General features: G+C 46.4%; 1 protein-coding gene across 25 annotated transcripts in view, besides 6 other annotated features; it reads left to right on the forward strand.

The window, feature by feature from the left end:
- GRAMD1B (GRAM domain containing 1B) overlaps positions 1-15730 on the forward strand; it is a 269346-nt gene that overhangs the window by 120585 nt on the left and 133031 nt on the right. For 20 of the 25 annotated variants that reach the window (NM_001367421.2, NM_001367420.2, NM_001367419.2 and 17 more), the window contains one exon: positions 1810-1887. The exons of 2 other annotated variants lie outside the window; for them this stretch is intronic. In NM_001367421.2, coding sequence (NP_001354350.1) covers positions 1810-1887 — 78 coding nt within the window. The remainder of the gene's footprint in view (positions 1-1809; positions 1888-15730) is intronic. 3 more of the 25 variants (XM_011542926.3, XM_047427321.1, NM_001387026.1) reach the window with 1 other exon arrangement.
- Positions 1365-1414: an enhancer, noted in NCBI's record as "active region_5684". NCBI's record gives its function as "activates an Ori minimal core promoter by ATAC-STARR-seq in GM12878 lymphoblastoid cells {active_cell/tissue: GM12878}" and the evidence as "EXISTENCE:reporter gene assay evidence [ECO:0000049][PMID:35858748]".
- Positions 1455-1574: an enhancer, noted in NCBI's record as "active region_5685". NCBI's record gives its function as "activates an Ori minimal core promoter by ATAC-STARR-seq in GM12878 lymphoblastoid cells {active_cell/tissue: GM12878}" and the evidence as "EXISTENCE:reporter gene assay evidence [ECO:0000049][PMID:35858748]".
- Positions 2812-2901: a silencer, noted in NCBI's record as "silent region_4017". NCBI's record gives its function as "represses an Ori minimal core promoter by ATAC-STARR-seq in GM12878 lymphoblastoid cells {active_cell/tissue: GM12878}" and the evidence as "EXISTENCE:reporter gene assay evidence [ECO:0000049][PMID:35858748]".
- Positions 4134-4183: an enhancer, noted in NCBI's record as "active region_5686". NCBI's record gives its function as "activates an Ori minimal core promoter by ATAC-STARR-seq in GM12878 lymphoblastoid cells {active_cell/tissue: GM12878}" and the evidence as "EXISTENCE:reporter gene assay evidence [ECO:0000049][PMID:35858748]".
- Positions 14459-14975: an enhancer, noted in NCBI's record as "OCT4-NANOG-H3K27ac-H3K4me1 hESC enhancer chr11:123364173-123364689 (GRCh37/hg19 assembly coordinates)". NCBI's record gives its function as "activates a minimal SCP1, AML or CMV promoter by ChIP-STARR-seq in primed H9 embryonic stem cells {active_cell/tissue: H9 hESC(primed)}" and the evidence as "EXISTENCE:reporter gene assay evidence [ECO:0000049][PMID:30033119]".
- Positions 14976-15492: an enhancer, noted in NCBI's record as "OCT4-NANOG-H3K27ac-H3K4me1 hESC enhancer chr11:123364690-123365206 (GRCh37/hg19 assembly coordinates)". NCBI's record gives its function as "activates a minimal SCP1, AML or CMV promoter by ChIP-STARR-seq in primed H9 embryonic stem cells {active_cell/tissue: H9 hESC(primed)}" and the evidence as "EXISTENCE:reporter gene assay evidence [ECO:0000049][PMID:30033119]".

The following is a 15730-nucleotide window of genomic DNA, read 5'->3' on the forward strand; positions in this document are numbered from 1 at the left end:
TATAGTGAAATTTGGTTATGTGGAGTTGGTAATAGGCAAATCCATCCGAGCTGGCAAAGTGAAAATGATGAGCAGCCACTGCATAGTGAACGAGCTGTAAAAACGTGCTGCATGGAAGGGAAGGAGAAAGGGATTCCGTACACAGTGAGTTCTGCCGAGCAGCCGGAGGCTTTGTGTATGGCGCTGTTCCGGTTTCTGGTGTGTGTGGTAACGTGTATGGTTTCTTGTGTCTGTGTTTGAAAATTGGATGTTAATTGCCTTTCAGGTCATTTACTTCTTGCTGGAAGAACGGAACATAAGAGCATGTGGTAACTGTGACCACAGAACTCATGTGCTTTGGCTGAGAGTGTACAGACACTGGAGCAAGCACTTGCTCGGCAAGATTGTCCAGTGTGCATTCTACTGGGCATCTAGGCTAAGGAATATACTCTATAGAGACCAATGCATCTTAGTGCAGCAGGCGATCCACCAGAACAAGGAGAAAATGTTGGTTATGTGGTAGCCTTGGTTATAGTGACATTTATGGTAATAGGGATTTATTATTAATAGAACCTATGTGAAGCAGGGGTTGGCCAACTTCCTGGTAATAAGGATTTATTATTAATAGAACCTATGTAAAACAGGGGTTGGCCAACTTTCTCTGTAAAGGGCCAGATGGTGAGCATTGTGGGCTTTGTGGGCCTATGGTGCCCACAACTCTGTCTTAGTTACTCAACTCTGCCTTAACCACTCAGCTCTGACATGGTAGCAGGAAAATAGCCAAAGATAATATGTAAATGTAGGCTTAGCTGTGTTCCAGTAAAACTTCATTTGTGGACACTAAATTTAAATTTCACATCATTTTCACCTGTCATGAAATATTCTTTTTTGGATTTTTTTTCTTCCAACCACTAAAAAGTACAAAAACCACCCTTAGCTCACGGGGCTGAGCAAAAACACGTGGCTCTAGATTGAGCCTAGAGTTTCTAGTTTGTGGACTCCTGATCAGATGGCTGGAGTATTTAATAATAATTAATAAAAATGATTTGTTCATCAGCTATGCCAGCAGTTAGTGTCATGAAGTGTCTGATAAGCTTTTCTTTCTCTGGAGTAAGAGGAAAGGCCATTCTTTCCCGTATTATTATAAGATATGACCTCCCAAAAGAACTCTGCCTGAACTAAAGCTGTGTAATTATCTCACTTACAGTGCCTTAAGGTGTGGAGAGTCCACCCTTTATTCCTTCTTCTATTTCTCATCCGCCTCAGCCTCCCCTGGAGGCAGAGTAGCAGACTAAGTGACCCCAGACCCCATCCAGCCTTTTGCCTTACTGGAGAAGCAGACTAGGTGACCCCTGGCCCCATCTAGTCTTCTGTCTTACCGGAATCTCCCTCCTCCCACACATCTCACACCCTCCCCACAACACCCCACCCAGTCCATGTCAGTGGCTTGAGAGTCTCCGGTGGGCTGAGGAGAATGGGATTATAATCCCATCAGAGAGAGGAAGAGGAGTGGGTAGAGAGAATGCTGGAGGCATTTGCTCTTTGAGGTTTATATAGCCAGGGAAGAGTGTGGTAGCAGGGCGAGATGGGCCTCTTCTGTTTTGGCTGGCAACAGACAGTCTGCAGGTGTGATGGCTGGGGATTTTATCAGCCTTGTGTCATTTCTCATATGGTCTAACTGTGCATTCTCTATGCTAGACTTACTTGGGGGAACTTGTATCTTTAAAATTTTGTAACCCCATGTCTTTGTCTAGTTGAAGTCTAAGTGACCTCCCCCAGGGTTGAGAAAGAAGCTGAAGTTAACGGTTGATATCCTATGTCTTTCCTCAGCAGCCAACAGAGCAGTCAGCAGAGCAGCCACGATGATGATTCTAGCAGGTTCCTGAGTCCTCGAGCGCGGGAAGAAAGGTAAGGTCCAACTCCGAGGGCGAGATGGGGGCAAAGAATAGAGGGGGTGGGGTGGAATGTTTGAGGAAGATTGTGCCTCTGCTCTGTGCAAAAAAATGTGGAAAACTGAAGAGGAATGGGAGCGCCTGAGACCTCTGTGCTTGACTGATTAGAAAGACAAAACTTTCACCCCATAAAGGAGAAGGAGCAACACAAAGGGGCTGGTTCCAGAGGCTTTTTGTGTTCAGCAAAAGAAGTCAACGTGTGGCAAACCAAATAGGTTGAAAAGACTTCATACTGAGCAGGGCTTGGTGGCTCACACCGGCAATCTCATTACTTTGGGAGGTCGAGGCGGGCGGATCACTTGAGATCTGGAGTTCGAGACTAGCCTGGTCAACACGGTAAAGCCTCATCTCTACTGAAACTACAAAAATTAGCCAGACATGGTGGCATGTGCCTCTAATTCCAGCTACTCCGAGGCTGAGGCAGGAGAATCGCTTGAACCTGGGAGGCAGAGGTTGCAGTGAGCCAAGATCGCGCTACTGCACTCCAGCCTGGGCAACAGAGGGAGACTTCGTCTAAAAACAACAACAACAACAACAACAAACTTTACAGTGGAGTTAGGACTTGAGTCATGCCCTATAGGTTGGGTACAATGTGGGTCAGGAGGTGAAGGGCATTTTGTGCCTGAGGAAGCTGCATAGCCCAGGATGTCAGGTGTTGGATGGTGTCAGGTGGCAGCAGCGTTAATGAAAAATGAGGTGGGATGTCTAGGATGCAATGAAAATATGGAGGCTCTTCAATGGTTGGTTGAGGATTGGAGATACAGCTAACTAAGCACTCAGTGTGAGGACCAGCCAGCACCTGCTTCATGCAGTGCCTGTGAATTGTAGACAGAGGTAAATTTGCTGTAGCAAGTTAAACTTCTTTGCCTACAGAAAGTTGATGGTATTGACGTTAACCAAAAGGAAGTCTCAGCTGGCCTACCGCAGGGGCTCTGCTTTTGGTCTAGCTCTGTTTATCGTTTTTATCAACAAGCTGGGTGAAAAAGCAGAAGGTACTTTTACCACATTTATCAACTTATGGTGGACCCTCTGCTGAGAGGGGGTAGAGAACACCAAGGATGATAGAATCAAGACTTAATATTATTTTGAGTAGAACAATGGGTGGAAATCAAGGAGATATTTTCTTTTTAATGGAAATGTGATTTTTTAATTTTTTAATTTTTAATTTTTTTTTTTTCTGAGACAGAATCTCGCTCTGTCACATAGGCTGGAGTGCAGTGGTGCAATCTCAGCTCACTGCAACCTCCACCTCCTGGGTTCAAGAGATTCTCCCACCTCAGCCTCCGGAGTAATTGGGATTACAGGCAAGTGCTACCATGCCCCGCTAATTTTTATATTTTTAGTAGAGACGGGGCTTCCCCATGTTGGTCAGGCTGGTCTTGAACTCCTGGCCTCAAGTGATTCACCTGCTTCAGCCCTCAAAGTGCTGGGATTACAAGCGTGAGCCACCATGCCTGGCTCACTGTGAAGTCTTGAAATGTCTATGAAATGTGATCTTGTATATTTATGTTAGAAAAGATTTATTTCGCAAGTGTAGAATTGCCGCAGGGAGCCTAATTTGATAGCATTTCATGTGAAAAAGAAAGAATATTTTTATTTGCCAGCCAAATATGAAACAATAATATGACACAACTACCAAATGATCTTTGAAAGTTTTTAATTCATTCATGGGAGCATGGTGCATGGATTAAACAAAAGAAGAAGATGTCACTGTAATCTGTACTAGTATGACCATATTTCGTGTATTATTCCAGTTCTTTGAAAGTGGATGTGGATGCATTAGAGTCCATAAAAGAATGATTATATCATAACTATATCATTATAATAAGAGTTGGTTGCGGCCCTCTGAGGTGGCTCACATCTGTAATCCCAGCACTTTGGGAAGCCAAGGTAGGCAGATCACTTGAGGCCAGGAGTTCGAGACCAGCCTGGCCAACATGGGGAAGCCCCGTCTCTACTAAAAATGCAAAAATTAGTCGAGTGTGATGGTGCACGCCTGTAGTCCTAGCTACTCCGGAGGCTGAGGCAGAATCACTTGAACCCAGGAGGTGGAGGTTGCAGTGAGTCAAGATTGTGCCACTGCACTCCAGATTGGGTGGAAAAAAAAAAAAAGAGTTGGTTGAAGGAAAGGGATTTAGCCTGGAAAAGAGATTTTTAGATATCTGAAAGCTGAAGAAATAGAACTGGAGGGTTAGAAGTCAGTGAGAAGGATTGCAGCTCAGGATAAGAAAGCACTCTTCCATGATAGAGCTGTACTAGCTTGGATTTTCTATCTGAGAACTGAGAACGAAGTGACTAACGGGTGGGGCATGTATACAGCGTGGATATGCTGAACAAAGGGATGATTCACGTTCCAGGTGGGACAGCAAGCGATTTCATCGTGCTTCTCAGGATGACACGTAATTTGAAACTGATGAACTGTTTATTTCCATTTAATATTTTCTTTTCTTTTTCTTTTTTTTTTTTTTTTTGAGATAGGGTCTCTGTCACCCAGGCTGAAGTGCAGTGGCGTGATCTCAACTCACTCCAACCTCTGCCTCTAGGGTTCAAGTGATTTTCCCACCTTAGCCTCCTGAATATCCAGGACTATTGGCGCCTGCCACCATACCTGGCTAATTTTTGTATATTTTTGTAGAGACAAGTTCTTGCCACATTTCCCTGGCTGCTCTCAACTCCTGAGGTCAAGTGACCCGCCTGCTTCAGCCCTGCAAAGTGTTGGGATTACAGGCATTAGCCACCACTGCATTTAATATCTTCTGACCACACTTGACTGTGGGTAACAAACCGCAGATAAGGGGGGACTGCTGTAATCTCTCCCCTTCATAGGAGTGTTCAAGCAAAAGCTGGGTGGTGTGTCAAAAGGGATTTCGTTCTGGTTGAGAGAGTGGAACCTCTCTAGTCCTTATTTCTTTAGATTATGAAGTCTTGTGAGTTCTGCCCTGGTTCTCAGTTTTATGCCCCCTGTTAATCAAAACAGTTCAGCTTATCAATTTAGACCGACGTATATGGAGACATGGCACTTCCAAGGAGCAAAGACTAATCATTCTTGTCAAGATGCTTAATCAGGTACGATCTGATCTGATGGCAGTTCTCTCAGTCCCTGGAGTACCCTCCACTCTCTGTGCAAAGCTTTCTAGATTGCAGCAATCATAATCTCAAAATTAGAAGAGGCCACAGAGGTCGCCCAGCACAGCCACCTTCCCTGTGCTGTGCACCAAACATCTCCAGAAGTATACTGTCCGTTTCTGAGCGTGATGTCTTTGCCTGCTCTTCTTCTACCAGTTCTATGATTGACAGTTCCTCAACTCACTTTATATTATCTCTGCTGCTTGGGGCATTCCTGGAAGAGATGAGTAGTGCTGAGATGCATATACCCTAATACATTTTCCCCAAGGACATAGCTGCTTGCTAACTAGAGAGAACTCTGCCTTTTGTTTGGTATTTGGGACTTTACACTGATATAAATTCTATTCTAATTTCTCCTCTCTAACCACTCACTCCTCCAACCACAGGAAATGTTACAAAGGTTCTCCCATCTAAACCTCTGCCCAGAAAAACTCTCTCGATTTCTTCCCGGGTCCTTTGTTCCCATCCTGGCCCACTCGCAGTCCCCTAAGCTCTTTATGGTGGATGGGGATGTTGTTTTGCATCAACTCGCTTTGGAGAGTATGAGGAACAGAGAGAATGTGGTCAGAAGTATGCTTCCTCTGGTGGTCCCTGTGACCGGCCCCCCCTCCAACCCCCAAAACCTCAGAAATTGGCTCTAGTATGTGTTCACTCACCATAGCCCTTCCGAAGAAAGTCTTTCTTCTCATCTTGGCTGCTGGGTTCCTTCTCCTGGAGAGAACAAGTTTCCGGAGCTCAAATTAGTCTCCCAGGCTCAGCTCAGAACTAACTTACGCTCTGCACCTAATTCTTCCTACCCAGTTAAGAGTCTCCAGGTGTTTAGGACGTTGATCTGTGATGTTCTGACCTGGGGTGAGATTGGAACCCTGGGGAGATGTGGGCAGTGGCGGGCATCTGGCCTGTGCTCCTCGTTCTGGCCCCCTCTGAGGGACAGTGCACCAAGCTGTGAATGGCGGCATTTCCTGCACTGGTGAGGCCTCCCTGCAGTCATCTTCTTTACTCTTCGTAATGCCCCTGGGTGGCAGATGGAGCTGGGTAGTATTGTCACTGACTGAAAACGGTCAAGGATGAGGTGGATATTATGGATTTTTTTTCTGTGGCTTCTTCTAATTTTCCAAACCATATCATCAATTGTAACATGAAAGATTGTTTCATAGAGCAGGCAAAAAAATTAGCATTGATTTCTTCTATTTTAAAGATTCAAATTAAAATCTTTCAGTACCAGATGCACTTTCAGCTGGTTTAATAAAACATTTTCTTTTCTTGCTTTTGTGTAAGGTTCAGAACGGTTATAGTATTCAGAGACTACGTAGCTACCTTACTCTACACAGCAGTGGGTGGAATACCTTAATACGGTGTTCAAACCTAAGGATTTCTGAGAAAGATTTTTTCCTTATTCACATTGACGCTCTGTCCTGAAGGAAAGACTTTGGAACCTTGACAGGAGTAGAGCGTAGGTTGAAGGACTGTGACATACATTTGCTGAGTGGGTGTGGCATCAGCAAGAAGGGTTGATTTTTATGAAAATGTGTTTATTAGGAAATGGAGATTGTCTCAGAGATAAGAATAATTCTTCCAGGTGTCCAGTAGAAAGCAAAATAGGTAACTTCCCCGAAGTGTGTGTGTATGGAATATAGGACATTAATTCATTCTTTTTTTTTTTTTTTTTTTGAGACAGAATCTTGCTCTGTTACCCAGGGTGGAATAGTGGCATGATCTTGGCTCACGGTAACCTCCACCTTCCAGGTTCAAGAGATTCTTCTGCCTCAGCCTCTCGAGTAGCTGGGACTACAGGTGTGTGCCACCATGCCTGGCTAACTTTTGTATTTTTTGGTAGAGATGGGGTTTCACCATGTTGGCCAGGCTGGTCTAGAACTCCTGACCTCAAGCAATCCACCTGCCTCTGTCTCCCAAAGTGTTGGGATTACAGGCGTGAGCCACTGCACCCAGCCTGATTGTGCATTTGTAAAGTCAATTTACTTAGTGTTACTCAACCCTCAACCTTAGTTTCCTCCTTTGTAAAAATTTGATGTCCATTGGATTTTCTTGTAAAGAATACATGAGAAAACATTCGTAAAGAGCCATTAAGTGGATGCTTAATAAATGGTAGCTGCTTGCACTCTGATTCTGGCTATCATAACATTTTACTCTCAGTTTCCTACCAGATCTTACACCCTTCTGTTCTTGACAAAGCAGAGACAAAGCCGGGCACCGTGGCTCACCCCTGCAATCCCAGCACTTGGGGAGGCCGACGTGGGTGGATTGCCTGAGCTCAGGAGTTTGAGACCAGCCTGAGAAACATGGCAAAAGCCCGTCTTTATCAAAACTACAAAAAATTAGCCGGGCATGGTGGCATGCGCCTGTGGTCCCAGCTACTTGGGAGGCTGAGGTACAAGATCCCTTGAGCATGGGAGGCGAAGGTTGTAATGAGCCTAGACTGTGCTACTGCAGTCCAGCCTGGGTGACAGAGTGAGACCCTGTCTCAAAAAAGAAAAAAAAAAAAAAACAAAAAGAAAAAGCAAAGGCAGAAAGAAAGTGTAGAATATTGAGCATCTGCAAATGTCACATATTTAGACTCCAGATAAATAGATTAAGTTGTGGTATTTCCCCTCAAGAAGCTGATTCTCTTATGGTGTGATATACTTACAAATAAACAAGTATAATATAATGTAATAAATGACTTAAGAAATTATGCGTAAGGTAATAAAACTGAAGAATTTTACAAGCTGGGTGTGGTGGCTCATGCCTGTAATCCCAGCAATCGGGGAAGCCGATGGGGGTGGATCCCTTTGAGGCCCGGAGTCTGAGACCAGCCGCCAACATGGCAAAACCCTGTCTCTACTAAAAATACAAAGATTAGCTGGGTGTGGTGGTGTGCGCCTGTAGTCCCAGCTACTCAGGAGGCTAAGGCTGGAGAATCACTTGAGTCCAGGAGGCAGAGAGTGCAGTGAGCTGAGATCGCACCACTGCACTCCACCCTGGATGACAGAGTGAGACTCTGTCTCAAAAGAAAATAAATAAAGAAGTTCACTAAGTGCTTACTCTGTGCTTAAACCTGTGTAATAAACCTTGCATACATTTTTAAATATATTCCTCTCAACAGCCTTATCAGGTACATGCCATTATCTGCATATTAGAGTTTAGGAAAACCAAGGCTCGGGGAATTAAACTTGCCCCAGAGAAACACAGCTACTCTGGGGTGAGGGCAGGGGTGGGAGGGTTTCCAGAAAACTCTACAGAGGGGGCTGTGCTTCAGCTGAGAACTGCAAGAGGAGTAGGAGTCTGTCACATGGACAGCATTTGCAAGCCAGGGAACAAGATGTACATAAGCATGGAGGCGGGAGAAAGCAAGGCATGTTCGGGAACCACAAATACTTCAGTGTTGCTGCAGCGCCATATCCTAGGAGAGGGGTAGCTAGTGAGTGGCCAGGAAAGGCCTTTGGACAGGTAGGCAAGTGCCTGGTCATGCCACGTCCTGCTGTGATAAGGAGTGAGTATTCTTTATGGATGACTGGAAACCAGTAAGTTACGTTTTTTTGTTTGTTTGATTTTGTTTTTTTAGAGACAGTCTTGCTTTGTCACCCAGGCTGGAGTACAGTGATGCAATCTCGGCTCACTGCAACCTCCGCCTCCTGGGTTCAAGCAAGTGTCTTGTCTCAGCCTCCTGAGTAGCTGGGTTTAGCTGGGCGCCCGCCATCATGCCCAGCTAATTTTTGTATTTTTAGTAGAGACAGGGTTTCACCATGTTGGCCAGGCTGGTCTCAACCTCCTGATTTCAGGGGATCTGCCTGCTTCGGCCTCCCCAAGTTCTGGGATTACAGACGTGAGCCACGGCACCCAGCTGCCACTGAGTTATGTTGAGAAACTGAGCACCCGAGTGTCTTAGTGCAGGCAGCTGTAACAGAATACCATAGACTGGGTGTCTTGTACATCACAGAAAATTATTTCTTTCCATTTTGGAGCCCGGGAAGTCCAAGATCAAGATTTGGGCATTCAGGTGAGGTCCTGTTTTCTTCATAGACAGCTGTCTTCTTGCTTTGTCCTTACGTGGTAAAAAGGAGAACTCTGATCTCTTCAGCCCCCTTATAGGGGCACTAATTACATTCATGAGGGCTCCACTTTCATGATTTACGGCCCCACCTCTTAATACCATTGCACTGGAGGTTAGGATTTCAACATATACATTTGGGGGTGGGGCACCAACACTGAGTCTATAGCACCAGGTAGCTCCCAAATATTCTTGTGAGAAAAATCACACCTGGGAGGTGTTCAGAGTTGAGTCCTAGCCCCTCCGGGGCTGTGGAGGATGGATACCTCCCCCCGGAGCTCTCCAGGCCGGGCATTTGGGCATGGTATAATGGAAAACCTGTGGCCTGGCATTAACTGGCTGCCTGGCCCTGCTGTCTGCTAGGCACCACGTAAGGGATTCCAAGATGAAGACATGGTCCCTGCTCTTGAGTAATTTTTCAGCCCAGTGACTTAATATGGCCATCAGGCATCAAGAACAAGGCCATGGGGGTGATGACGTGTCGGAACGGAGGTGTGAACCTGGGGAGCCGGATCTTCTCCCCTCGCCACCCCACGGCCCTGACTGAAAGCTTTGGCCCTCCTCCTCCCCCGTTGCCACCCCATGGCCCTGACTGAAAGCTTTGGCCCTCCTCCTCCACTGTCACACTCAGTGATGGGGAGCCCTACCCTAGAAGTGTATCTCATGAGAGCATCAGGGATGCAGTGAAAGAGCGATGCTCAAGGGAGACAGGAAGAGAGAGCAACATAAAGATGTGGCTCCATGTCCATGGTGCACCCTGGTCAACAGAGGAAGGGGCGTGGGACCCGATGGAAATTTGGAGCTCAGGGAAAATAGTTAGGGGGGGGCGGTCCTTACCTCTCTGCGTACCCCCTTAAGGTTGACCCCTTAGATGGCCCAGGAACGGCAGGTGCTAGAGGAATGGTATCCACCTGGGCATGGAAGTGGGGCAGATTCAGGGGCCACTGGACTAAGGGGAGAGAAGGGCTTGTCAGCACCCACCCAGGGAGCCTGTCCATTTATGTCCCCAGATAAAGGGTCCTAGAAGAGTTAAAAAAAAAAATTGAAATCATGCCTGGCCTGTGGTTAATGTGTATGTGCCTATTAGTATTATTATCATTAAAACAGTGGGTCGAGGACGAAGGATTTGAGGAGCAGAGGTGGCAGTGAGTTTAATTTAGTCATGTAGAGTGAACTACTCATGGAGTGTGCCAGTGGATAGAAACACTAGGCCATTGGCTACACCGTTTGAAGCTCAGGGGACAAGACTGAGAGTGCTCATTTGGCAGTGACCACTATGGAAGAGCACAGCAATGAGAATATAGTTGAGGCGAGTCTCAGGATAAGCAAAGTTTAAGCAGAAGACAAAGGAAGGAAGAATTTTAAAAGATTGTCCACTGAAGACAAGATGACTAGGAGATAGTAATGGAGAAGCAAGAAAGAATAGTTAAAAGGGTAGAAATAGGTAAGAAAAGGACTAAAAAGAATCCTCTGCAGTGGCAATTTGTGGAGGTCATTGGTTACCACAGAGCAGTTTCAGAAGAGTATATTTGAGGGGAGGGAGAAGAGACCGACCATAGTGATTTCATTCTAGAAGTCTGCCTGGGAAGAAGAGAAATAGGGAGGATACCTAGAGGAGAAAGCAGGGATGATTGGGGAAAATTCTTGTTTTAATATGGAGAGACATAAGCACTTTTTTATAATCTCTGAAGTAGAAATTGGTATCTCAAGGCTGAGAATTTCAGAGAGGATAAATTCATTTGTTCATTCATTCATTCAACAGACTGATCAATTACGCACTATCGGCCAAGTGTGATGGCTGGCGCCTGTAATTCCAGTGCTTTGGGAGGCTGAGGTGGGAGGATCACTTGAAGCTAGGAGTTTCAGACTAGCCTGGGTAACCTGGCGAAACCTCGTCTCTGCAAAAAATAGCTACTGCACTCCAGTCTGGGCGTAGAGCAAGCCCCCGTCTCAAAAAAGTAAAGAAAGAGCACTATGTACTGGGATTTCCAGTCTTGTTGAAGGGACAATATTAAACACAATTGAGAAAATGCAAACTTGGAATTTGGATGGGTGTCTTAAAGGAAGAGGACATAGTACCAGGCAAAGTGTATCGAAGAAGCTGGACCCGGCCAGAGGGGTTGGGGCCAAGGTGTAAGGCTTGGGCAAAGATTAGAAGGGTGAATTGGAAGCAGTGATGTGAGACAGATGAGATGATATGAATGAGATGAGGCAGGCGCTTCGATGGCCAGGATGACCAGGATATAGCAATAGAGAAGCAAGAAAGAATAGTCAAAAGGGTCTTGGTCTTTATTTTAAGAGCCCAGGAAGCCACTGAAGATCTTTGAGACGGGAGATGACAGGATCAGATTTGCTTATGAAAAAATTGCTTACAAAAACACAGAGGCTGTTTCATGGACACTAGGAGATCAGCTGAGGCCCTTAGGAGCCTATTACTGTATCCAAGCTAAGGATGTTCATGTCTTGGAATGTGGATGGTGATAGTGAAAAAAAGAAGCAGACAAATTCAAGATATATTTAGGAGATAAAATGTCCAGGGCTTGATCATGAATTGGGTACATATGGGTGTGAGAGAAGGGAGGTGTTCAGAGTTGAGTCCTAGGATTCCAGCTTGCTCAGCTAGGGGGTGCCATCTATTGAAAGGTAAGGAAGCAGAGTTTTAGAGGAGGCAAGAGAAGGTTGGGTCAGATCACAGGTGAGAAGATTACCCTTGAACAGGAGAGACTAATTGAGGTGGATGCAGGTGAGTTCCTAGGTGCTATGGTAGGAAGGCGAGGAGGTTAGCGGCAGCAGGATCTGTTTTCTCTGTGTGATAGAAAATGATGTCTCCTAACTAAGATCAGTGAAGGTGGAATGAGAATAGTGTGATGTTTGGATATAATTAATTCTGGGACTTTTTTTGTGTCAACTTTTCTCCAAGTACCTTAAAAGACATTTGTGGCTGGGTGCAGTGGCTCACGCCTGTAATCCCAGCACTTTGGGAGGCTGAGGTGGGTGGATCACCTGAGGTCGGGAGTTTGAGACCAGCGTGGCCAAAATGATGAAACCCTGTCTCTACTAAAAATACAAAAATTAGCAGGTGTGGTGGTGCACGTCATGCTAGAGTAAGATCATCACTGCCAACTCAGGTCTAGCCACTGGGATAGGTAGCTTCCTAGTAGAAGAGGAAGTCTTTTCAATTTTGCTTATTCTGTTCCAGAAATATGTCCCCAGTAGCATATTTCCAGAATAGTCTGGCTCCGTCTACCTGCTTGGCCAGTGAATTCCCCATGGACTCACGGACATTCCCGTGATCCCTTACCATGGGGAGAGAGCCAAGTTGCAAACCCTCTGGGAGCAGTGCTCCCTGCCCCTCCCCTTCCCCCAGCACCAGCAGCTGACATCACATGCAGGTACAGCTTCATCCTCCTTGTCTGAGGACAAAGGAGGAGAGGAAACTCACCAAGTGCCCAGAGCTCTGCCAGATGTTGAAAGATGGAGGAGGGCTTCATTTGGAGCTGTGGCTTGGGCAGGAGGCAGAGGGGATCTCGGTAACGCAGGACCCCAGGCTTGCCCACCCTGGGCCCTCCATCTGCCTGTGTTTTATATTGAACCACACGGAGGGGAGAGCTTATGTGCAGGAGCCCACAGTTGACAGCTGGGGTAGCTGCAAGGGCAGCAAGTCCACGCAGCTCCAGAGTGAGCCCCCAGCCCTTGAGGTCCCAGCTGCCATGTGGCCAGCCCTCCCCTGAGCCCAGCATGGTGCAGAATCTACAGCCAGAGACCGTCTCTTGCAGCACTGCTGTAAAGCAGGCTTGTCACTACCACGTCTCCTCCCTGAGGAAGAAGCTGGCCTTTCTGCGAGCCAAGTAGGTGGTGGGGACCCTGGAGATTAGGTTTGGGATTGCCTGGGTTGGCTCCCATGTTTGGAGATATTGTAGGTCCCTGCCCAAGAGGGACACTCGGTGATCCATTGCAAGAGGCTGAAGGGAAAGGCCAAGGGGTATGGGTGGCTGGGATGTTGACTGGGAGACTGAGTCTGTGCCTCACTGTGTGCCTCCCAACGAGGTGCCTTGGCCTCCGGGTCCTTCTTCATAACTGGCCAGGGACCATTACTTTTCTCCTTTATGATAAGTTGCTCCAGTCCATAAAGAACTTGGAAATCCTGAGAAAGGTGCGGTAGGGAACAGTGTAGTCTGCCTGTGTAGCATCCCCTGGACAGGGGCGCTGGCGTCTCTGGGGTGTGGATCATTCTCTTCCACTTACAGAGACCTAAGCAGTAGGTGTTTGGGGCCATTGCTGTGTGTTCATTTCTATATCACCTCGTCGGGCACTTTGGTCTGACTCCAGAATTATTTGAGCATGCATCAGATGTGGGGTGCTTTTTCCTAAAACAGCCCCCATACCTGGCAGATGGGCTGCAGTGGCTCCTGGCTGAATCTGCCCTGCCCTCTTGGCCTCTGTAACTAGAAGAAGGAGATTTCCTGGAGGAGGAAGAGGTTCCAGCCCCTAAGGTTAGAATTAAATTTGAAGGCTGACAGGCATTCAAGAGAGAGGATCATGTAAACTTATGGGCAGGTTTGTGTGTTTTTGCTTTTGTTTTGGCGTAAAGAGAAACATCACTGAGAAAGATGGAATGAATGAAGTGAGGAGAGAAAAGGAAGGAGAAAGGCAGAAAGAGGGGCCAAATGGATTTCAGAGGTAGGGAGAGGCTAGAGGCAGTAGGTGGCTTAACCTCAATCCTCTCTCTCTCTCTGTCTCTCTCTTTCACACATACACACACACACACACACACACACACACACGCATAGGCATAGATGCCTGTGATTGTTTAGCTGTCTATTGACAAGGGTTTCTCATGGCTAAAGTTTTGGGGCTGGTGAGCAAAGACTGTGTCCCTCTCTGATTAGATGACTTCTCTGGTACCGATATTCAGCGCTGTGCCTTGCACACAGTAGGTTCTCAACAGATAATGGTAGAATAAGGAAGTCTCTGATCCTGTGATGTGGTGCAAGGACAAGATTCAGTAATGGCTGCGGGGAACTCAGGTTTTGGAGACCAAAATACCTTAGTTTAAATTCCAGCTCTGCCACATCCTGGCTGTGGTGCTTTTGCAAAAACATTTCATCCTCTCTGAATGTTTCCTTTCTGAAAAATGAAGATAATTGTACTTACTTTATGGAGCTTGTGGGGATTGAACTGAGATAAAATAAGAAAGGCACTTAGCACTGTGTCTGGACGTAGCACACAGTAAGTGGCAGCTTGTGTCACTGTCAGCAAATAGTAGGCCTGGGCTTAGCCTGCAAGGGGTGTGGAGAGTGAGTTTTGAGCAGGAGGTTTGCAAACTTATTAAGGGAAGCCACACATGAATCCATGAGAAGTAATGTTTGACTTCCCAGTTGCCAGGGGAAGCCAGTTATATAAACTCTGGTCCTCACTGTCCTGGTGAGAGACAGCTGCCTTGAGGGTGGGGTGAAAAGCCCAGAGTGGCAGTTGTGTGGACGGGCTTCCAGACCTACCCGCAGGCAGCCCACTCGAACTCCATGTGGAACGTGGGCCCAGAAGGTGTTCAGCTTGTTCCAGCTGATTAGGAAGAGGGTCCCATCTCAGAAGAGGCTCACTTTGATTAAATTCTGCAGTGGAAGTGTCCCTTTGTAAACAGCTTCAGTAGAGGCCCCAGATGTTCCTATTGTTCAGATCCCAGGAACAATGTTGTTAATAGTGGTGCTGTTGGTGGAGAGGAAGACCTGAGTTCTTCCTCCCTGTTAGTGACTCATCACTCGAACTGCTCTCAGCTCAGATTCCTCACCTGGGAGCTGTCACATCTCAGAGAGGCTGCCTCTTACCCCTTTGTCCCAGTAGGGTTTCTCTCCCTCACTTGCATCAAAATAAATGGCTTATTTTCCATTTTAGCATTAATCACATTATAATTGTATTTATTTGTTGACTTGATCATTGTCTGTCTCCCCAACTAGTCCCTAAATTGCATGAGAGCAGGGACCATCTTTGTTTTATTGTGTCCGCAACACTTAGCACAGTGCCTGGCACATAATCATACTTAACTACTTACTAAATGAGTAAATGAACCAATGAATAACCATATACGACTTTTTGTTAATGCTGACATTCTAGGATCATGGAATTTCGTGACTGTAGCCCAAATGGAGGGCAAAGACTGACCTTTACACATCTATTAACCTTTTTAAACTTTTCATGCTCATGGAAATGTTTTGATCTGTGACCACCTCTCACATGTTCCCCTTTCTCTGATCCACCTGCACATATGCTTAGGGGGTCACATGGTCTTGTGGAAGACAGCACTTAAGGCCTTTTTTTTTTTTTTTTAGGTCTGAGCTAAGCTCTGACTTTTGAGGGCAGGGCAAAGAAGCAAGTGAGTGCTCCTGTCTTGCTCCTGCTTCCCCAAGTTCCCAGCTTAGAGCTCCTCTTTAGCAGTCCTGGCTGCTTCTGTGGCTGTCAGCAGAACTGTCTGCAGGTGTAACCATCACCTGCTCTGTTTCTCCTACTCTAGCCCTTCTTCTTTGTGCCTGAGAAAGGGGGGTTGTTAATTATAGCTCAGCAAACTCCTCTTATCTTTGCTGATGCCATAGTTGGGATTTAGATTTGGACAACTGGCAGGATGGATGGT

The sequence above is a fragment of the Homo sapiens genome, chromosome 11 (genome assembly GCF_000001405.40).
Source record: "Homo sapiens chromosome 11, GRCh38.p14 Primary Assembly".
Classification (NCBI taxonomy): domain Eukaryota; kingdom Metazoa; phylum Chordata; class Mammalia; order Primates; family Hominidae; genus Homo; species Homo sapiens.